General features: G+C 39.8%; 2 annotated features.

The window, feature by feature from the left end:
- Positions 96-674: an enhancer, noted in NCBI's record as "OCT4-NANOG hESC enhancer chr8:19670041-19670619 (GRCh37/hg19 assembly coordinates)". NCBI's record gives its function as "activates a minimal SCP1, AML or CMV promoter by ChIP-STARR-seq in naive H9 embryonic stem cells {active_cell/tissue: H9 hESC(naive)}" and the evidence as "EXISTENCE:reporter gene assay evidence [ECO:0000049][PMID:30033119]".
- Positions 24,139-24,339: a silencer, noted in NCBI's record as "peak6933 fragment used in MPRA reporter construct". NCBI's record gives its function as "represses an SCP1 promoter by STARR-seq MPRAs in K562 erythroleukemia cells {active_cell/tissue: K562}" and the evidence as "EXISTENCE:reporter gene assay evidence [ECO:0000049][PMID:32103011]".

Raw genomic sequence — 24,347 nt, 5'->3', positions numbered from 1 at the left:
TAATTTTATACAAATTTCATTCTGTCTAGTTTCAAGGGATAAAGAGTCCCTTTTGTTCAAGGCCAAAATCCTCACCTGTGCTTCTAATCCCATACCCTTGGCTTCCTTAGGGAATCTGTTATCAGTTATCCCCACTCTGTAGTTTCTGTCTATTTCTCCTGGTACCTTCCAGTAGAGTATGTGTTTGTGTTGGATTACTGCTGTTTCCCATTGATTATAGTAGACATTGTATGCCCTGCTCAGATCGCCTTTGCCAGGCAGTACAACTACTCTCTACTGCTGTCAGTATTGGCTGCTAACTGCTCAGAACTGCTCCCTTCCGTAGAGAACTGCCCTTAGCTTCCTGGAGGAGTTAGCCACTCCCAAGGGGGTGATACATAGTAAAAAGGTTAGTGACCCTGCTTCAAAGGGGGCAAATGTGTGACATAATTTGTATTTCAAAGCCCTCCCTGGTGGATGGGGCCAAGGCTGGATCTGCCTGAGACCACACGCATGCTCAGCTCTTTCCTCTTCTGTACCCTTCTTCCCCACTTTGTAGGTTTTTCCTGACGAGCACTTTCTCAATAAATCATGTGCTCCCAGATCCCTGTCTCAGGCACTTCTAGGATGCCCAGAGACGATAGTTATTGCTGGACGGACATGAGGTGCTTCCATGAATCCTCTCTGTTCCAGATATAGCCCCTCCTGCATCGCTCATGTAACAGCAACTTTTTCCCCTTAGTTATCAGGATCAATTGTCTGACCAATAAAGTAACCCCTTTCTTTTGCACCTGTTAGTTCCATAGTATAAGAAGCCCAGAGCCGGGCATGATGGCTCACGCCTGTAATCCCAGCACTTTGGGAGGCTAAGGCAGGCAGATCATGAGGTCAGGAGATCAAGACCATCCTGGCTAACACGGTGAAATCCCATCTCTACTAAAAATACAAAAAATTAGCCGGGCATGGTGGCACACACTTGTAGTCCCAGCTACTTGGGAGGCTGAGGCAAGAGATTCGCTTGAACCTGGGAGGCGGAGGTTGCAGTGAGCCAAGATGATACCACTGCACTCCAGGCTGGGCAACAGAGCGAGACTCCATCTCAAACAAAGAAACAAACAAACAAAAGGAAGCCCAGATGCTCAGGAGGCAGTTTCACTTCCAATTCAATAGAACCAGGACTATGTTTCCTGTGGAAACCCTCCTCCCTTAGGAATTAGAGCTTCTTCCAAGTCTTCAGAGCACAAGATTGGGGAACATTCTGTTAGTGGGTTATTAGTATATTTTGAGAGGCTACTAGCTCCTTCCACCTTTGGTTGATTTAAAGCATGTACTTCTCCATAGGATGGTACCCAACCTCAAAGGATATGGCTTAGCTGACACCATAATTAAGCCTCCAGGAGACCGTATCTCACCATTCTCTCAGGCCAGTTACTTCTGGGTGATGAGAACAGGGTAAGACCAAGGAATTCCTTGAGTCTGTTCCCTTTGCTATATTTCTTTTGCCATAAAATGAGGTCTTAGGTCTGAAGTGATATTGTATGGGATACAATGGGCTATGGTTTGAATGTCTCCTCCAAATCTCATGGTGAAACTGAGCTCTCAGTTAGGCAATGTTGAGAGATGAGACCTATCAGAGGTGACTGGAACATGAGGGCTCTGCCCTTATGAATGGATACATCCATTCATGGATTTATTGGTTAATGGATTAATGGGTTATCATGGGAATTGAACTGGTGGCTTTATAAAAAGAGGCAGAGAGATTCAAGGTAGCACGCTCAGCCTCCTCACCATGCGATGCCCTGCACTGCCTTGGGACCCGTTAGGGAGTCTCCAGCAGCAAGTAGGCTCTTTCCAGAGGTGCCCCCTCAACCACAGACTTCCCAGTCTCCAGAACTGTAAGCAATAAAGTTCATTATAAATCACCCAGTTTCTGGTATTCTGTTATAAGCAACAGAAAACAAACTAAGTCACAAGGTAATGATTAACAGAAAACATATTAAGACACAGTGGTAATGAATAAGGTGTTCTGTACATGGATGAGTGGTGGTGTAACAGGCAGAAGTGTGATGGAGAATTATCTGAATCTATAATAGTATGAATTCCCATGAGGACAAATCATTGCCTCCTCCGCGATGGAAAAGGTCCAGTGTCATCAGCTTTCCACCAAGTGACTATCCAATCCTTCTGGGGAATGGTGCCATATTGAGGGTCTTGTTCTGGCTTCTTCCATTGACTGGGCGCTCAATAGTAGTTTTAGACATGTCATCCTTGGTGAAAGTAAGTCATGCTGAGCCCATACATAGCATCCCTGGTGCCATGGCTATTCTTTCCATGGACCCACTGAGCAAACCCCACATGGCTGGTGAAAGAGACTGACATCACAGGATGAGTCATCCTGTTTCCACCTGATTAATGAGATGCTTCTTTGCTATAGGTGTCCTCTGGGGGGGTTTTACAGAGAATGCAGCTGTTTTCACTCTTTGTGCCCATTTTAAGAGTCCACCTACTCCTCTCCTAGACCTCTTTGACACCAGTATTCCAATTTTGTTCTTTTGACATCCCTGACCTGTCAGACAAGTCTGTCAGCCACTGCCCTTGCCAAGGGAGAGCCATACTTCAGGATGTCTTTCCACAGTGGACCACCCAGATGAACTGCCCAAAGTCCTACCTACTGGAAATATTTCCCTTCATTGTGTTTTAGGGTTACCACTGAAGATGGCTGTCATTCAGAGGCTGCCTGCCTCCAGATGACCACATACCATGCACACCCTTCTGTATACCAGGTGCTCCCAAGAGGCTAAGATGTGAGTTCAGGGAAGGGTGGCGAGGCAGTAGATGTAGCCACGTGGCATTCTGAACCATGTTGATGAAATCTTGTGCTTTTCAGACCTGCTGAGGCCCTTTCATAAATATTGTATTTCCACTAAGTAATAGAATGCTGGTACTATAGTATAGTCGGAAGTATAGTTCCAACTTCATGGTGGGGTCATAAATGATATTTAAGATAATATCAAATTCATGCTGGGCAGCTGAGATCACATGTCAGTTGATAGTCTATGATCAGGGGTTCAGTCTCTACCAGGCTCCAATAACAGTCTAGGTTCTGGTGTTCAAATGGTCATGGTTTGGGTTTGCACTGTGATTCTTCTGTTAGCCATATCAGAGGCTCCAAACAGCGTCCCTGTCTGTCACAAGCATTTTGAATTCTATCGCATCTGTTACAGTAGTTGTAGAGGCTTATCCTGCTTTGAGCCCCACTCAACCGGCATTTGCTAGGGGAAAAGTTACATACCAGGTATCAGGAGCTATATTAATTTGTTTTTATTAAAAAAAATTTTTTTTAATTTTTCTAGAGACAGAGTCTCACTCTGTCATCCAGGCTGAAGTGCAGTGGCACTTTCATGACTGACTGCAGCCTCGAACTCCTGGGCTCAAGTGATCCTCCCACACCAGCCTCCTGAGTAGCCTGGACTTCAGGCACGTGTCACCATGCCTGGCTAAGTTTTAAAAATTTTTATTTTGTAGAGATGGGAGTCTTGCTATGTTGCCCAAGCTAGTCTCAAACTTCTGGCCTCAAGCAATCCTCCTGCCTTGGCCTCCCAAATTGCTGGGATTATAGGCACAAGCCACCATACCCAGTCTTAATTTGTTTTAGTATAAAGATACATATCTCACTTGAGCTCAGGAGTTTGAGACCATCCTAGGCAACATTGGGCGACCCCCGTCTCTATAAAAAATAATATAGGCCGGGGGTGGTGGCTCATGCCTGTAATCCCAACACTTTGGGAGGCCAAGGCGGGCAGATCACGAGGTCAGGAGTTCGAGACCAGCTTGGCCAATATGGTAAAACCCCGTCTCTGCTAAAAATACAAAAATTAGCTGGACGTGGTGGGGCACGCTTGTAGTCCCAGCTACTTGGGAGCCTGAGGCAGGAGAATCGCTTGAGCCCGGGAGGTGGAGGTTGCAGTGAGCTGTGATTGCACCACTGCATTCCAGCCTGGGTGACAGAGCAAGACCCTGTCTTAAAAAAAATAGCAAAAAATTACAAAAGGAAGATACACATCTAAACCAGCATCTGCAGCTGGCACCACCATCTGATTAAGGTTATGACATAGTTGTTCTCCAAGATCCATCTAGTTTTTTCAAGATGAATGCTCTGGTGTGTTAACTGAGATATCATGGGAGCCATTTACCACCCATCTTTCAGGGATCTGATGGTGGCATTAATCTCTGCAATTCCCCTTGAGGATACAGTGTTGCTTTTGGTTTACTATTTTGGCAACAGTGTTTCTACTCTTCTTACATAATAGTTCTACCCTTCCTATATAATAGCTCTCACATGGTTTGGCTGTGTCCGTGCCCAAAATCTCATCTTTAATTGTAATCCCCATAATGCCCACGTGTCAAGGGAGAGACCAGATGGAGGTAATTGAATCATGGGAGCTGTTTCCCCATGCTGTTCTCCTGATTGTGAGTGAGTTCTCGCAAGATCTGATGGTTTTATAAGTGTTTGGTAGTTCCTCCTGTGTTCATTCTCTCTCTTGCTGCCCTGTGAAGAGGGTGCCTTGCTTCCTCTTCACCTTCTACCATGATTACACGTTTCTTGAGGGCTCCCCAGCCATGCTGAACTGTGAGTCAATTAAACCTCTTTCTTTTATAAGTTACCCACTCTCGGGCAGTTCTTTATAGCAGTGTAAAAACAGACTAATACAAGCTCCTATTTTATTAGTCAGGGAATGGATGCGAGGATTCTTTTTGCTAGTTGTGAAATGTGTCTATGGGGAAATAATCACAGGATCATTTCCTGTGAGCATCATCGGACCCACTGTGAGATGGGCTTGGACCAAAACACACTTATCACCTGACCAGTAGACTAATGTGGTCAATATTAATTCAGAGTCAGTGTCTAATAACACGAGGAGGCCTGGGTTTTCCATTCCTTTAATGGCCAGTCACCCTGTTAAATGGCTGGAGGTCCCTCTGTGGAAGGTTTTGAGGATGATGTATGGTATGAAATTGTGATCAAGTTGCAGAGTCTTTCCTAAAAGGGATCTGGCCTCCACCTCAGCTAAGGAACTCTGGGTGTATGAACTGGCTGCAGTCTGGGAATTGGGTTCTTCCTACGATGGTCACTCAAGTCAGATTTCTGATCATTTGGCTTTGACTTTCTCTGATGTTATAAATCAAGTCATACATCTGTAGGCTGCCCATCTGTTGCTTTTGTAGGACCTTTATGATCCATTAGCTACTGCTACCAACTCTGAGAGCCAAAATGCTCTAGTTGCCACTGTATCCCTGTGACCTATTAGGGTTATTGCCTCTGATGGTCAAGTGCTGCCATGTGACTTCTACTATGCAAGAATCCCATTATTCCCATTGAAATCAGGAAGCCCAATTCTATGGCGGTATCTCATGCCAGCATCTCTGGCCCACAGAGGATAGCCAACACAAAAATTTTTATGGATGTTGATGCTTCCTTCAGTAATACATTTCTGGGCCCTCCTGGTGTGTATGGTAGGGGTTGGCTGAGCAGACTGCAGATAATGAATTCCCTCCAGCATTCCCATCTCATTAAGCCAGGGATATGGTTCGGCTCTGTTTCCCCACCCAAACCTCATCTCAAATTGTGATTCCCATAATCCCTGTGTGTCAAGGGAGGGACCTGGCAGGAGATGATTGGATCATGGGGGGCAGTTTCCCCCATGCTGTTCTCATGATGAGTATGTTCTCACCACATCTGATGGTTTTATAGGTGTTTGACAGTTCCTCTTGCGCTCATGCTTGCTCTCTCTCTCCTGCCACCTTGTAAGACATGCCTGCTTCCCCTTCCGCCATGAATGTAAGTTTCCTGAGGCCTCCCCAGGCATGTTGAGCTGTGAGTCAATTAAACTTCTTTTATAAATTACCCAGTCTTGGGCATTTCTTTATAGCAGTGTGAGAACTGACTAGTACAGCCACCATACTCGTTTCTCTAAAGCATGCTAGGAAAATTCCAGCATCTGTGTCTAGGTCATGTTTCAGCCTGGCTTGGAGCCATTTGGTACTCAACACTCATCTCAGGATCGAAGCAAGAGAGAGATCTGCAATTATTCTAACACATTCAATAGAATTCATAGTGTTTGTGACAAGTAGGGGTGCTGTGTGGAACCTCTGAAAAGGTCTAATAGGAGAATCACAGTGTAAGCCCATAGAGTTTGAGAACAAAAGCATGACCATTTGAAAAGCAGTTTCATGCCTGGGTATGGTGTCTCATGCCTATAATGTCAGCACTTTGGGAGGCCAAAGTGGAAGGTTTGCTTCAGACCAAGAGTTTGAAAGCAGCCTGGGCAACATAGCAAGACCCATCTCTACAAAAACAATTTTAAAATTAGCTAGATGCAGTAGCATGCACTTGTAAGCCCAGTTACTTGGGAGGCTGAGGGAGGAGGATTGCCCGGGAGTTCAAGGTTGCAGTGAGCTATAATCATGCAACTGCACTCTAGCCTGGGTAATAGAGCAAGACCTTGTCTCAAACAAACAAAAAACAGTTCCTAGATTGCTACTGGACATACTGAATCTGGAATTCCTGGAAAATGCGCTCATATTGATAAATTTGGCCCTAATTTTATAATTTGTCCCATTTGATCAATATCCTTATTGTCAATTCCAAGGGTCCTGTTAATACAAATTAGCAGAATCCTGCAACTCATTTGGCATACCCTGTACCTCTTCCTGGAATAGGTTTTATACTTCGCTTTCTGGGCTATACAGGAATTTCTTTTCCTTTTTAAAAAAAATTTTTTTTTACTTGGAAATAATTTCAAACTTACAGAAAATCTACATGAATAAAAATTGTATAAAAATTATTTATATACTTGCTATGAATTTAATCATGTCCCCCTCAAAGCAGACAGGTTGAAATCTAAACCCATAGTATCTCAGAATGTAACCTTATTTGGAAATAGGGTTTTTACAGAATTAAACAGATGTTTGACTTGAAGTCATTAGTGTGGGCCCTAATCTGATGTGTCCTTTTTCAAAGGGGAAATTTGGACACAGAGACAGGGAGAATGCCCTGTGAACATAAAGGCAGAGATCAATGTGACATGTCTATAAGTCAAGGAACCCCAAAGACTGCTAGCAAATCACCTAGAATCTAGGAAAGAAGCATGAACAGATTCTCTCCCACAGCCTTCAGAAGGAACCTTCCCTGCCAATGACTTGATCTCAGACTTCCACCCTGCAGAACAGAGACAAAAAATTTCTATTGTTTAAGCCGCCTAGTTCATAGAATTTTGTTATGGCATTCCTAGCAAACAAACAAATACATATCCTTTACCTGGATTCACTTATTATTACCTTTTAATTTCATTTGCTTTATTATTTGTGCAGATGCTCACTCTCTCTCCATAAATACGTATGTATGTATAATATTTATACTGAAAAATTTGAGAATAAATTTTATACATCATAGCTCTTTACTCCTAGACATTTCACAGTATATTTTATAAGAAAATGGATATATATTTATGTGTGTGTGTGTATATATATATATATATAAAATTTTTTTTTTTTTGAGACAGAATCTTGCTCTGTCACCCAGGCTGGAGTACAGTGCCATGATCTTGGCTCACTGCAACCTCCACCTCCCAGGTTAATGTGATTTTTCTGCCTCAGCCTCCCAAATAGCTGGGAGTACACACACCCACCACCACACCCAGCTAATTATTGTATTTTATCAAGATGGGGTTTCACCATGTTGGCCAGGTTGGTGTCAAACTCCTGGCCTCAAGTGACCCACCCCCCTCAGCCTCCTAAAGTGCTGGAATTACAAGCATGAACTACTGCGCCCAGCTGGAAGTGGATATTCTTCTACATAGCCACAATGTAATTATCAATGTCAGTAAATTTAACCTTAATAAAATAGTTTCACCCATCTACCATCTCTATTCCAATATTTTAATTCACCAATAATGTCTTTTACAGCATTTCCTCCTCTAGTGGAGTCCAGTTGTGGATCAGGTGTTACATTCACTTTTCCTTTAGTGTTTTTTCCACAGCCTCTTTTTTTTTTTGTCTTTTATGACTTCGATATTTTTGAAGAATGTAGTTTGACTTCATTTTCTTTTAAATAGAACGTTCTTCATTCTGGGCGTGTTCAATCCTTCCTCATTTTTAGATTCATTTGTGTATTCCTGGCTGGAATACCACATATTTGATATGTCCTTCTTAGGGTATCATATCTGAAGGCATAAAATGTCTATTTGCCCGTCATTGACAACATTTATTTTGTTCCCTTGTTCAAGGTGCTGTCTAATTTCTCCATTCTATAATTACTATTTTTTCCCTGGCAACACTAAGCAAACTACGGGAACACATTCTAAGTTCATACAAATAATCTGTCCTAGAATTTATCTCTTTTTATATGCCTGGAGACAATGAAGGATAATGAGGTGAATCTTGTAGAATAGGTATCCCAACCCTCAGCCACTTACAGCCTAGCAGCAGAGATAAGAAGTTCCTAGGAGGCCATGATAGAAGCTTTCTGATTTCAACCCATGCCTTGGTTGAAAGTTCAAGACACCAAGCTTATCTTTTTCAAAGCTGCCAATCTACTTATTGTTTGTCATACTGATTAAATAAGATTTCCCATGTCTTTTCTGCCCACTGTACTCCATTTCATGCCATGGCAGGCCATAAATTGAAATTATGCCTTTTTAACTTCAATTACATGGAAACACTCTGCTCTTATATGGCTCCTGCTCCACCACCTTTCACTAATTATATCTTTGATTTCACTAAATGTATCTTTATACATCGTATACTCCAAAACATAGACTAATGATTTTTTATGCTTTTGTCTTTTAAATCACGTGGAAATAAAAATTGGTGTTGCAAACTAAAGTTATAATAATACTGGCTTTACAATTAAACCAGATATTTATCTTTACCAGAGATCTTTATTTCTTTATGTGGCTTCAAGTTACTGTCTTTTGTTCTTTCACTTTAATCTCAAGTATTACCTTTGGCATTTATTTCAGGGCATGTCTAATGGTAGTGAATGCCCTCAGTTTTTGTTTATCTGGGAATGTCTTAATTTCTCCCTCATTTTTGAAGGACAGTTTTGCCTGACGTGGAATTCTTGTTGACACTTATTTTTCTTTCAACACTTTGAATGTACCAACCCACTACCTTCGGTTTCCAAGGTTTTCTGATGACAAATCTGTTGGTCATTTTATTGAGAATTACTTGTATTGGATGAATTATTTATTTTTTGATGCTTTTGAGATTTTTTTTATCTTTGGCTTTTGACAGATTATAATGCATTTTTGTATAGGTCTCTGAGTTTATCTTACTTGGAGTTAGTTGAACTTTTTAGATTTGTGGATTCACATACAACATCAAAGTTTTTGGCCATTATTTCTTGAAATAATCTCTCTCCGCCTTTCTCTGTTTCTCTCTTCTATTTCTGTAATTTCCACAATGCATATGCTTGTCCACCTGATGTATTTCCTCAAGTTCCTTGGGCTCTGTTCACTTTTCTTCCGTTTTTTTCTTACTTTTCCTCAGAGGCAATAATTCAATTCTCCTACATTCAAGTTTGTTGATTCTTTCTTCTGCCTGCTCTAGTCTGCCTTTAAATTCATCTAGTGAATTTTCTATTTGAGTTATAATTTTCAGTTGCAGAATTTCTTTTTTGTTCTGCTTTGATTTTTGTCTCTTCATTGATATTCCATACATATTTCTGACTTTGTCCACATCTTCCTTTAGCTCTTTGAGCATCTTTAAGACAGCTGTTTTATTAAAGTGTTTTTCTGGTAAGTCCACCATCTGAACTTCCTCAGGGATGGTTTCAGTCTATTTGTTTTACCTTTGAATAGGCAACACTTTCTAGTTTCTTTTTGTGTCTTTTAATGTTTTCATTAAAAACTGCATATTTGGATTTTATAATTTGGTAACTCTGGAAAACAGATTTTTCTCCTTTTTGCTTTTCTTCTGTTTGTTTTTGTTGGCTGTTTTTAAATTTTTTTTTTCAGTGGGGTATTACCCTCTGTGTGAGATCAGCCTGAGATGTAAACTGAAGGTCTTCTCACATCTTTTCTGAGCCTATGTCTCAGGCATGTTTAGTGAGTTTCTATATTCCCACAAATATGCAGTTGCTTTTGAATGTCCAATCTTAAATGCCTGGCCTCCAAAGGTAGAAAAAGGGGGAAATAAATGAGAAAAAAAAGGCATTGTCTTTGTCAAAGAAAATTTATGGAAGGCCATTATTTGGACTAAGCTTCTGCTCTAGTTCCCAGCAGACCCGGCCAAACCTAAATGGACTCACTCATGCTAAGTGCCACATAATCAAACTGAACTTTGAAAAAGGCCATTTTCCCAAGAAACAGAAGATTCAGAGCAATTAGTTGTACTGAGCCAGCATAATAAGAAAGTTCCTTCTAAACCCTGTAAGGAAAATCATCTGGAAATTGATGCAGGATTTTTCCTTGACCCCTTTGCAGGACTTGCAACAGGGGTGCCCCATTTACTCAGGCTTCCACACTCAACTCCTTGTGGGAGGGAGCACATGAGCGAATGAGTGTAGGAACTGGCTGGCTGCTTTGGCGCTGGCAGGAGCAAACTCCAGGCAGGCCTGCAGCAGCATCCAGATGGGGGTGCCTGTGACCCCAAAACCCCAGAGGGTATGTTACAGTGCTCTCTTAGCTTCACCATCTGAGGACAGCAGAGTGCTATCAGCTCAGTGGTCCCTTTGCCTCATTGCATGGGGTGGCGGCCCTCCACCAGTGAGAGCAAAGGGCTAGTGTGAGCCTTTTTGGGTACTGCACTTGGTGGGTCCCGAACTCTTGTCCAGTACCCAAGAAAAGTGAGGTCACGTGGACAACTGAAGGCTGGTGAATGCGAAGATTTTTACTGAGCAATGAAAGTGGCTCTCAGTAGAGAAGGGAGCTGGAAAGCAGATGGGAAGGGCAGGTCACTCTCCCCTGAAGTCAAGTTGACTTTCTACTTCTCTCCTCAGAAGTCAAGTTGACTCTTCGATGTCCAGCTGCTTCTCTGAAGTCAAGTCACCTCTCCCTGACATCCAGCCATTTTTTCTCCTTACTGACTGAATCTGGGGTCTTTATAGCCACAGGATGGGGGGCAGGGTGGGCCATATGTAGTTCTGTAAAAGGCAACATTCAGTTGGTAAAAAGACACTATTTAGAAAGAACGAATCAGGAGAGAGCAGGCAAATGGGTACAGAAGTTCTCACTTTGCGCCACAGGTTTCAGGCTTTTCGTCTTGAAGGTGGAGTTTCACTGGGGACCTGCCCTTGTTTTCCTAGAGTTTCTCTGCTTTCTGCCTCTATCAAAGTAACCAGTATGCTTTTTTGTTCGTTTGTTTGTTTTTTGTTTTTGTTTTTGTTTGAGACAGAGTCTCACCCTGTCACCCAGGCTATAGTGCAGTGGTGTGGTTTTGGTTTACTGCAACCTCCACGTCCTGGGTTCAAGTGATTCTTGTGCCTTAGCCTCCCAAGTAACTAGGATGACAGGTGTGTGCATTTTTGTATTTTTAGTAGAGATGGGGTTACGCTACATTGGTCAGGCTGGTCTCAAACTCCTGGCCTCAAATGGTCCACCTGTGTCGGACTCCCAGAGTGCTGGGAGGACAGGCATGAGTCACCATGCCTGGCCCAGTCTGCTTGTTATTCCTTGTTTTTGCTTTCAGCCCTTTTCTCCTTATAAAGCCAAGTCTCTCTGCTCAGCTCACCAGAGCATTTATTCTATTTTGTAGAATGAAATGCTTCCTGATTCTAGAGTCACAAGTATAAGCCAATTGGATCTTTAACTCTGTAGTTTTTGTCTTTTAACATCTCTTTAAATCCGCTGGTAGCCACTTTGGCTGGAGTGGTATTAAACAATGGCAGTGGGAGTTGCAACAGTGGCTGCCTGCCTCTGTGTCTGCTTCTCTGTAACCAGAAGCACCAGTCATGATTACAACACAGATCCCCAACATTTGGAGAACAAAGTCCTTATTGCCCACTCCATATCCTAAAAGCCACTCTAGGTACCCTAACACAGCTGCCTGCCACAGAGCTGGGGGTGGGACGATGCATAGTTGCTGCTGCACTAGGCTGAAATTGATCAAAATTAACCACACCTTCCCCTGGAAACTGCAAGCCTTTGAGTGGAGTATAGAATTCCCAAATAGTTTTATCAGACAGATTCTGCCAGTACAATCACTGTCTCTCTCAAGAGACAGATCCCTGGTGCTTCCTGCTCTGCCACCTCCCCTGACATTCCAAGCTTATTTAAACTTACATTCTTGTACAGTTCCTTTTAAATTATGTGTTGAAATTCTAATTTAACATTTATGAAAACTGACTCTAAGTTGCTGTGTGGAATTTAGAAGTGTTGAAAGTCATAGTTGGAAATTAATTTTTAATAACATTTTAAGGCCTTCTTCAAGTGATATTCCAGGTTAGGCAAGGACAAAAGAAGGCATGTTTCTGTGTATAAATAAGACATACATATACCATAAAATCTAGTAGAGAAAGGATTGGGATCCTGGGGAACTAAAGCTTTTGAGACTATTGTAAAACCATCAACTTGCCATTATCTTAAAAATAAGAAGATAATTTAAAAATTTAAGTTTTAATTTAATTTAGATTAAATTTAAGTTTAAATTTAATTTAAATTTAATTTAGATTAAAAATCTTAATTGTTGTAGAGTAGCATCTCTTGTGACAGAGTGATCAAGCAGAGTCCCAATAATGAAGAAAAATTACTTTCTGAAAGTTTAATGTTCCTCTTGTATTAGGCCTTATTTTATGGCTTCATCTTACTTTTAAATATGTTTTCTTTGACTCCCTGCATTATTTATACACTATCATATTTTTGTTATTTCCATTAGCTTGATTTATTTCTCCTATTAGATGGCATTTCTTTGAGAGCAATCATTGTTTTAATTTTTTATGCTATACACTATTGGGTACAGCTATTTGATTAATGTTTGATAATTACTTATTTTGGATACAGGAAATCTAACACCTTGAAACTTGTGATTTATCAGAACAAATACTTTTATTTAAGAAGCTGCTACATTAGTATGAGTTCTGATGAGAGTGAAGGAAGACATTCTTGATATAGAGAATGAGTTCCTAATTATGGCTCAAAGTTCTCTCTTTTGTTTCTTCTTGATCCTATTGGACATGTAAATAATTCACTGACATGTATATAAGTCAATAATTTGGTATTTTAAGTTTGGTACTAAGGCATTAAACAAAATAAATTAAACCATTGAAAATTGGAAAAGGACACTATTATTAAATTTTAGCTGTGGAACACCTTGTAATAGTTTGAGAATCACCACCGTAAATCATCCAAATACAGATTGAGCATCCCTAATCAAAAAATCTGAAATCCAAAATGTTCCAAAATGCAAAACTTCTTTGAGCACCAACATGACACCAGAGTGGAAAATTCTACACCTGACCTCATGTGATGGGTCACAGGCAAAACCTTGTTTAATGCACAAAATTATTCAAAATAGTATGTAAGATTACCTTTAGGCTATGTGTATAAGGTGTATATGAAACATAAGTGAATTTTGTGTTTACACTTGGGTCCTATTCCTGAGATCTCTCAGTATGTATATGCAAATATCCCAAAATAAAAAAAATCTTAAATTTGAAACAATTCTGATCCCAAGCATTTCAGATAAATGATACTCTACCTATATACCATACATTTAACAAGTCAGTATTCAAACTTATTTCCTGGACAGTGTCTTTTGCTAAAACCAATTGTTTTTATTCATTATAATTGTGTAACACTTAAACTTTCTGAAAATAATACATAATCATTATAGGAAATTAGAAAAGTACAGAAAAGCACAAGGAAGAAAATAAAATCACTCGTAATTCCATCATTCAGAAATAGTCATTATTGCCATTAGGGAGGATCCATGCAGTCCGTTTTAAAAATCTTTTTCTCCACTTATATTCTGTACTTTTAAAGGAAAAGACAAGTAATCCGATAGAAAAAATGGGCAAGAGTTTTGAATAGGCACTTCATAAAGGAGTATATCTAAATGGCCAATAAAGCTATGAGAAATAAGGAAAATACGCATTCAAATCTCAACAAGATATTGCTACACAACCATACTATGATTAAGGGTAACAATAACCAGTATTATTAAGGATATGAACAATGGAAACTCTCACTGTGCTCATGAGAGTGACAAATGGTTATAGGCAATTTGGCGATCTGTTAGATATAATCTATAAAAGCTGAAGATCTACATATCACTTCATCTGGTTATTCTACTCCTAATTCGCTCAACAGAGTTATACGCTCCCTGTGTGATGAAAGACATCTAGAAGAATGTTTGTAGTAGCATATTCCCCAACTGGAAACTAAATGTCCTTCAAGAGCAGAGTGAATGAAGACATTGTGGTATATTCATGTAACCCATTAGAAAGGCTTTTTCCATTCCAATGTGTATACAGCAATGAAAAACGATTACTAGGTACAACAAGAGGGATGAGCTTCACAACCAAAATGTTGCGTGAAAGAGCCCAAGAACAAAAGAACGTATATTATATGATTCCATTTACATAATGTTTGAACTCAAACCAAACTAAATTATAGCGTTTACTGATATAAATGCAAGTGATGAAACTATGAAGAATGGAAATGATTACAATCCTATCAGGAATGTGGTTCATTTGCAGAGAAGGGAGGGTATAGAGATTGGGAAGTAGAAGGAGGGCATTTTGGGGATGCCTGAAAGATTTTAGTTCTAGACTTGGGTGGTGGTAACAGATATTCATTTTGTGATAAATCAGCTATCCCCATTTTTTCTGCACACAGTTATTTATGTGTGTTATATGGAATAGTAGAGATGTTTAAAAGGAAATGATAGTATTGCAGTAGACATTGCTTTTAAATTTGCTCTTTTCAAAACCATCTCACTAACGTTTTCGACATTATTAAGTGTTCTACATTTTTACGGCTGCATATTATTTCCTTGAGTTGATAATTTAACAAGCTCCTTATTATATATGACATTTAGTTATTTCTAGTTTTTTAAAACTATATAATAGTTCGCTGAACATCTTTGTTTATACACCTTTTCAAACTTTCATGATAATTTCTTTGGACTAAATTCTTAAAAGTGAAGTCATTTAAGTAAAGATTTTTAGAAAGGTTTTTTGGAAAAAAACTTTAATATTAAATATTGCCAAATTACTCTCCAAACAAGTTATGACAAACTAGATTCCTATCAGCATTGTAGGAGAATGCTACTTCTCTCCATGCTCAACGACATTAGGTATTGCCATTTTATTTTTATCTTTTCCAATATCATCAATCACACTCTTATTTTTTACTTGAACTTGCATTTCCTTGACAATAAGCAAGTTTGAACATTAAAAAATATGTTTATTGCTCAATGTAGGTCTTCTATGAAATATCTTCGCTCATTTTTAAAGTGAGCTAAGTTTTTTCTTATTAATTTTTTAAAGATTATTAAATAAGAATATTAATCATTTGCTAACATAGATGGACTTTTTATAGTGTGCCTTTTAATCTTATGATGTTTTAGAAATAATGTTTTTGTTGTAAAACATGGATATAGATGACCAAACAAAATGAAAACATAGCTTAGTGAATTATTCTAAAGCAAACATCTTTGTAATTACTTCCCAGGTGGAGAAAGAGAAGTTTGTCTCCCACAAAGCCCCTATATGCTCATCTTTATCTCCCTCCTTCCCCCAACAAGTAACCACTACCTGACTTGTATAAAATAACTTCTTTTATAGTTTGAACACCCAAGCGTGCATCCATAAACACTGTGGTTTAGTATTATCCATTAAAAATTAATATATCCCCTTTATTTGTTATTTTGAAAATGGAATATAATTTGCACACCATAAAATTCACCCTTTTAAAGCATACAATTCAGTGTTTCTTAGCACATTCTCGCAGTTGTGCGCTCACAATCAATATCTAACTCCAGAACATTTTCATCACTCCCAAGAGAAACTCTGTACCCATTAGCAGCCACTTCCTATTCCCGTTTCACCCTGGCACTGACAACCATTAATCCTTCTGTCCCTAAGGATGTGTTTTTTCTGGATATTTCATATAATGGAATCATATGAAATGTGATTTTTGTATCTGGCTTCTTTCACTTAGCATAAAATTTTCAAGGCTTATCCATGTTATAATAAGTATTAGTACTTCATTCCTTTTTATGGCCAAATAATATTCCATGGCATGTATATACCATACTCTGTTTATCCATTCATCAACTATTGGACATTGGTGTTGTTTCCAGTCTTTGGCTAGTATGAATAATGCTCCTATGAACATTTGTGTACAAGTTTTTGTGTGAACTTGTGTTTTCATTTCTCTTGGATATATACTTAGGAATAGAATTGCTGGATCATATGAGAACTCTACAGCTAACTTTTGGAAGAACTGCTAAACTTTTTTTCAACAGCAGCTGCACTATTTTATATTCTCACTAGCAATCTACAAGGATTCTAATTTCTCTGCCAACTCTCATTATATTAGTATGTTGTTTAAGGTTCTTTTATTCTATACTGTCTCCCACCCCATTTCTTTGTTTTCTTAACAATGCATTTATTGAAGAAACCAGACTATTTGATCTGTAGAGCTTCTCACGATTTGGGTTTTATTAAATGCATACTTATGGTGAAATTTTAAGTGTCATCTAATTTCTGCAAATTGGCAGCTGTATTCAGAGACTGGGTCAGACTAGGTTTGATGTATTTGGCAAGACTGTAGATGGTTTTATCAAGAGGCACGTGATGTCTGACGGTCTCTCTGATGGTGATGTTAACAGCTGCGAATGCTTTGTGCCTAGATTTAATAATTCACTGGGGATTATGAAATGTTGCTCGTCAAATTCTATCACTTCTCTTTCACTTGTTGGCTAGAATATGCTCATAAATATAATTTTTGTTACTCTCGTGCTATAATTCATATAGGATGCAGCTCATACAGGAGTGGAAAATTACATGCTTGATTCGTGTCCTTTATTAATTAGATCTGCAAGACAACTGGTTTCCTATCAACCTCTGAAAGTGATTAATTTCGGTTTTAAAAATATTAATTAGTTAGTATTCTTTTTTTTTTTTTTTTTCTGAGATGGAGTTTTGCTCATTGCCCACGCTGGACTACAATGGCATGATCTTGGCTCACTGCAACCCCTGCCTCCCAGGTTCAAGTGATTCTCCTGCCTCAGCCTCCCAAGTAGTGGGGGTTACAGGCGCCCGCCACCATGCCCAGATAATTTTTTGTGTTTTTAGTAGAGATGGTGTTTCAGTATGTTGACTAGGCTGGTCTCGAACTCCTGACCTCAGGTGATCCACCCACCTCAGCCTCCCAAAGTGTTGGGATTACAGGCGTGAGCCACTGCACCCAGCCCAATTAGTTAGTATTCTTATGAACTCTCGGGTTTAAATTTATTTGATGGGTTTCAGATCGTTGCAATGATTAACCTTCTTGAGAGCCTATTGTCTTATCTTTGGCCAGGAGAATCCTCTTTGAGTTGGCTGCACAGAGTTATTCTGTCAATACTCTAGTAGTTTTTGACAGCTTCCTTTTTACCTGACGTATTAGTCCATTTTCATGCTGCTAATAAAGACATACCTAAGACTGGGTAATTTATAAAGAAAAAGAGGCTTAATGGACTTGCAGTTCCATGAGGCTGGGAAGACATCACAATCATGGCAGAAGGTGAAAGGCACGTCTTACATGGTGGCAGGCAAGAGAGAATGAGAACCAAGCAAAAGAGGTTTCCCCTTATAAAACCATCAGGTCTCGTGAGACTTATTCATCACCACGAGAACAGTATGGGGGACACAATCCCCATGATTCAATTACCTCCCACCAGTTCCCTCCCACAACATGTGGGGATTATAGGAGCTACAATTCGAGATGAGATTTGGGTGGGGACACTGCCAAACCATATCAACTGCTATAACAAGATATTCCAGAGTCATCTTCTACTGCTTCTCTTTTAGATCTGTTAGCGATTTTTTAAAGATGCCTTTTTTTGTTTGTTTCTTTTTGTATCATTTTGTATTTTCATGGGAACTGTCTTCCAGTGTCCACTGTCAAGGTGTTCTGCTGTTCTTTACTGTGGATTTCTGTTGGCTGTTCTGTGGTGTTGCTGTTCTCACCCTGTCAGATGCCCGGTGGCTTCTCTCTGTTTCTTCCTGCAAAGATGTCAATACCATACAGGTATTGTGGCTGTTGGTGGTTTGTCCTTATCTGCTTGAATTTTGGGGTTTGTGGGCATACCCTCTCACCCAGGTTTATTGTTAATGTTATCCGTGATTTTGCCATTGCTAAATAGTTTCTCTGTCTATTGTTACATGGCAATTCAGAAAGAACCCAAAGCTATGTCACGTCTGCCACTGCCACATTCCCAGAATCTTCTGTGGTGTTTTTGGACTTGCAGAAGTCTTAAATTTTAATGTAGTCAGATTTATCAATCTTTAATGTTATGGGTTTATGCTTCTGCTTGTATGCTTAGAGAGGCTTTCTCCACTCTAAACTCAGATAAGTAATCTCTCATACATTTTTAAGTACTTTATTGGGTTTTTTTTGTACATTAAAAATGTAATCCATCTGTAATTTATTTTGGTGTTTGGTGAGATTTAGGGATCTGATTTTATTTTTCCAAGTAGCCTTTTCCAAAACCATTTATTGGATTATCTCAGAACTGATTTAAAAGGCCTCATTTAATCTAGACTAAACACTCTTTGTAGTTAGGTCTGCTTTAACCTCTTGAATCATTTCCATCAGTCTGTCTTCCACACAGTTTTAACGACCAAACATTATAATTTTCCATGTCTGCTAAGTGTGAGAACCTTTCTTTTATTAATCCTTTCTAACATTTTAAAACCATTCCTTCCCATTTATTCTTTAAGATGAATAGCTGAAAAATTTCATCAATCCCATGGTTATTTTGACTGGAATGGCAAATAATTTGGAGAGAAATAATATTTTCATAACATTAGAATGTTTCCATTCAGGGAAATAGTATATTTCTTCATTTATTCTAGTCTTCTCTTATGGTCCTTGGTAAAATTGTCAATTTATTCCTATAAGTCCTCCAAATCTCTTTGTGAATAGAAAAATATAATCCATTATCTCCTTCTTCTGAGAGGCAGAATTTGTTCCAGAGTCTGGGCTGCTGATTCCCCAAATGGGGTTAAATGTTGCATTGCTCCCCAGCTGGAAACCTGCAGAGACAGAGAATAAACGAGGTATGGCCACTGTGAGCATGTGACTTGCAGCTCTCTAACTTCAGGGAGCATAACTGTGCAAGGGCCGGAGCTGCAGTGCTCTGATGTGCGCTGCAACATTTGCACCAGGCCGTGTTACTCAGAGGTTGCGCCAAGCCAATGACAGGGTGTGGCTGAGATGCTGAGGCAGACTCATTTCTAGGAGACAGACTTCAGCCAGCTGACTTTAGCTTGAGGACTTCTCAAAAGCTCTGCTGAGATTGCCTTAAATTGCATGGCCATGGCTGTTTGGGATGTTTCCACTCAATTTTTCTCCCCTATTTCCTTCACTTGCGTCCTCTTTCCTTGTGTCAGTCTGTCGATCTGGTGGATCTCTAGGCCTTCTTGGCTCCCCACCTATTTTCTCCCACAGGTGTTTTCTCTAATACAAGTCTTGTATGTTTAATACCATGTTTGTATCTACTTCTTAGAGTACCTGGACTAACACACGTGACTTTGCAATTTCGTATTTTAAAATGATTTTACTCTTAAAATTTAATAAAAACATATCATATGGTTAAAATGTTGTACCAGTAAGTAGTTTCTCCACAGTAGAAGAGCTAATAAGTAGTTGAGCTGGGCATCAAATACTAGCTTTTGGTCTAACTCAAAAGCCCATTCTCAGCTCACACATGTGGTTTACACTTTGAAGGGCAGTATTATCGGGTTGGCACAGAGACTCCATATTAACCAGGAGAAGCATTTAAGGTGGGAATGAGAAGTTGGGACTGGAGTCTGGGCAATTTGAGTGCTTGGCTAGGGCATTTAAGGAGCTGTGAATTCTGGGTGAGCAGTGGCCTGTCATTCTACTTAAAGCAGAGTCTAAGTTTGTTGGTGGCAAGGGAATTTAGCATTTCAAAAGGTAGTTTGGAAATACGTGTATACAGAGTGTCAAATGAATGCCTTTTGATGCCGCATTTGCACTTCTAGAAATTTATGTGAAGAAAATAATTAAGAATATACTCAGCTATGGTACTATAATAATGTTCAATAAACTGCTGTTTGAAATAATGCAAAGTTGGAAACAATGTAAATGTCTAACAATAGAAGATTTGGTTAAATAAGTGATGATCTATACAAGTGTGTAAAAACATTTGAAATGATGTTACATGAATGTAACTGCTGATGTGAAAAGTGTTTACAATATGCTTTTAAATGACGTATTTATTTACAGACAAGGGTTTCCCTACATTTCCCAGGCTGAAGTGCAGAGGTGCAATCACAGCTCACTGCAGCCTCGACTTCCCAGTCTCAGGTGAGCGTCCCCCTCAGCCTCCTGAGTAACTGGGACTACAAGTGTGTGCCACCACGCTCTGCTAATTTATTGTATTATTTTGTAGAGATGGGGTTTCTTCATGTTGCCCAAGCTGGTCTGGAACTTTTGGGCTCAAGAGGTCCACCCACCGTGGCCTCCCAAATTGTTGGGATTACAGATGTGAACCACCATGCCTGGGCACCATATGCTTTTTTTCTTCCAAAATCATTGTTGAATTAAAAAAAACCCTTTATTTTGAAATAAACTTATAAAAACATTGCAAAAACAGTAAAGATTTCTTTTCCTTAACCATTTTAAACGAAGTTGCCAACATGATGTCCCGATGGCCCTGAATACTTGTGTACTGTGGTTAGGTGTAGGTCATTCTCCTACCTAATCAACATACAACTATAAATATCAAGAAATTAACATTGATATCTGCATTAGGGTTCTCCAGCCTGGAAAAAACAAGGAAGGATTCTCCCCTAGAGCCTCCAGAGGGAGCTCAGCCCTGCTGACACACTGATTTTGGACTTCTGGACTGTAGAACTGTAGAGAAAACATTTCTGTTATTTTAAACCATGAAGCTTGTGATAATTTGTTACGGTAGCCTCAATAAACAAATATAATGTCCTTTCCTTGCTCTAGCCCTAGTATTAGCTATTTCTCAAGGAGCCCTGGTTCCTTGGTGTAGAATGTGTAATATACATGTACATCCATGAATTCACACTGATCTCTCTAGTTTCTACCTACAATCACAACTTTCACACCTGTCTTCTTTTTTCCCATATTAATACCTTCCTTCTCTAACAGTGAGAAACCACCTGGTTCTCAATATATTATTAGTTGAATCCCCCATATGTATGTAGATTAGCTCCCATTGTTACTGGTGGAGGGTGTCCAGGTTCTTGGTGTCTTTAACAAAACACACAAACAAAGCAAGGAAAGAATGAAGCAACAAAAACAGATTTATTGAAAACAAAACTACACTCCGCAGGGTAAAAGTGGGCTGAGCAAGCGGCTTAAGAGCCTGGTTACAGAATTTTCTGGGGTTTAAATACCCTCTAGAGATTTTCCATTGGTTACGTGGTGTACACCCAATGTAAATGAAGTAGTGGCCCTTGATCAGTCTGATTGGTTGTAGGGGGACCAATCAGAGGCTGAAGTGAAGTCACAAAGTTACACGCTATGCAAATGTCCGATTGGTTGCAGAAAGTGACCGACCAGAGGCTGAAGTACAGTTACAAAGTTATACTTCTATGCAAATGAAGGTTTGGCCTGTGACCAGCCCGATTGGTTGTGGGAGGGGACCAATCAGAGATACTTTGAAATTTTCATCTGCCACAGAGAAAAGGGGTGGTTTGCAAACGGAGTAGCCTCCGGTCCTTTTGTTACTTGGGCATGGAAAGTTAGGGTTTTCCTTTTGGTTTAGTTATAGGAAGTCAGTGTGAATCAGCCGTAGGTTCCCTGCCCCCAGACCCTATTCTCCTGCCTCACCATCACCACCAGTGCCCACCCCCTCACAGATGCTCTTCTCATCCTGCTTAGTCTTTAAATTCCTGTTTGGGAGCCGCCACGCAGCAGGCTGCCCCTCATGGTGGTGTCCTCCTCACTCAGTTGGATTATTTTTTTAATTTTTCTAATTTTTTAGTTAGTTTCTTTCTTTTTTTTTTTGAGGCAGGGTCTCACCCTGTTGCCCAGGCTGTAGTACAGTGGCACCATCTCAGATCTCAGCTCACTGCAACCTCTGCCTTCCAGGCTCAAGTGATCCTCCTACTTCACCCTCCGAAGTGGTTGGGGCTACGGGTGTGTGCCACCACGCCTGGATAATTTTTTTAATTTTTAATTTTTTGTAGAGGCAGAGGTCTCACTATATTGCCCAAGCTTATCTCGAACTCCTGGGCTAAAGCAATTCTCCCACTTCTGCCTCCCAGGGTGCTGGAATTATAGACATGAGCCACCGTGCCTGGCCCCACTTGAATTCTGACACTTTGCACGAGGCTGCCAATGTCACTCTCCACTCCTCTTCTACTCCTCCCCCTGCTGTCTCTGATGTACCCCATGCTGGGCTGCCACAGCCTGCCCTCCCTACCCTACCCTCACACTCAGCCACAGGGTGCCCCCCTCACTTGGTTCCACTTAATGATTTAATGATCTTGGACTCAGTTTTTCAGGAAGAAAAAGAAGAAGGAAAAGAGGAAAATAAAGGCAGAAAGGAAGACACCATCTACATTTTTAAGTGAAAAAAAAAGTCATACTCACATATTTGGGGGAAAATCTGTACAAGCAAAGAGAAAAATCTGGACATGCCTATGCTAAGATTATCCACAGTGACTGTCGCTGGGAGACTAGGTCTTGGGTTTACTTTCTTTCCTCTTTTTGCTGGACTTAATTTTCTTTTCTTCTCTTTGTCGTCCTCCCCCACCTTCTCCTTAAGAGGGGTGTTCAATGAGCACAATTTTTTTTTTTTTTTTTAGAGTCTCTCTCTGTTGCCCAGGCTGGAGTGCAGTGGTGCAATCTTGGCTAACTGCAACCTCCACGTCCCTGGTTGAAGGGATCCTCCTGCCCCAGCCTCCCGAGTAGCTGGGATTACAGGCATGCGTCACCACGCCCGGCTAATTTTTGTGTCACAGTCTGTTTTTGTAATAACTAAAATAACTAAAAACTTTATTTTTGAATATGAAAAACAGGGTCTATAATTAAACTCATTTTTTTTTCTGTCCTGTGTAGAGAGTAACTCAAATAGTATGGTTTTTAGGATTACTTGAGTTTTTCTTTTAACTTGAAAAATGGTTTTTGGAAGCTGGCCCACCCAGAAAATAATGCTGCTTACTTATTGTGTTAATTGCTTGAATCTGAGGGTGTATCTTTTTCTATCACTAACTGATATCTCTGACATTTTCCCAGCTGGTTTATTGATTCACTAAAAGATAAATCATTCATCTGTGCTGGGCAATGTGTAGAGTAAGAGAGAAAAATATAGAAAACAGGATTCTTGTTCTTTTTTATGCTCTCAAATTTAATACAATTTATTAACATTTTCACTTGTGTCAAGTAGAGCTGACTTGAATCTAGGCAAATACCAACCCAACTAAGAGCAAATACCAACCCAACTATAGCTCTTTACATTTCTACTCTGCAGATATTGGTGGGATGTATGTGGTTGATTGTAAGCAACCTGTTTTAGAAAGTTACATACATGCAAAAGCTTTGTGATATGTTATACTAATATAGCTCTGTAATATAGTTCCTGTTGCTCCAAATCTTTGTTTTCTTGAGTTACTTATGGTAGAATCAATTTCACTTTACATGTGGCTGTTGAAAACAGACTCCATTTAGAACGATTTATTCCATGAAGTCATGCTCTTTGCTCTTTGGAGCTTTCACCAGGGAAGTTTTATTTCTTTGTATTAGTGATTTTGGCCCGACGAAGCGTTTCTCCACTCTGACTGGTTTCTGAGTAAGCCACACTTGCCTGGGCCTTTTAGATTCCAGCTGTAGAAATTTTGAGCCTATTGAAAAATCGTTTCCTATTAACTCTGTAAAGGGAACCAAATGTGTAACACCCTTTAGCATTAGGTTTATATTTTTCTAGTACTTTTGTTTGGGTTCTTTTTTATCCTTGTGTCCAGTAACATTATTTGTAATGGTCCGTTTTCAGGGAGATTAATTACATTCTCGGTATATCTGCTTTCCTATTTAAAAATTTTCTTTCTGGAACAGGATTGGAAAATAATAGAAAACAGCTCACGCAGCTGCCTTAGTTACCAAGACAACAAAATGGAGAAATAACTGGCTGGTTGGCTTTTTTCTCTTTTTCTGAACTAC

This window comes from Homo sapiens, chromosome 8 (genome assembly GCF_000001405.40).
Source record: "Homo sapiens chromosome 8, GRCh38.p14 Primary Assembly".
Classification (NCBI taxonomy): domain Eukaryota; kingdom Metazoa; phylum Chordata; class Mammalia; order Primates; family Hominidae; genus Homo; species Homo sapiens.
The sequence above is the reverse complement of the archived record's forward strand: the minus strand, read 5'-3'. Positions and strand labels throughout refer to the sequence as shown.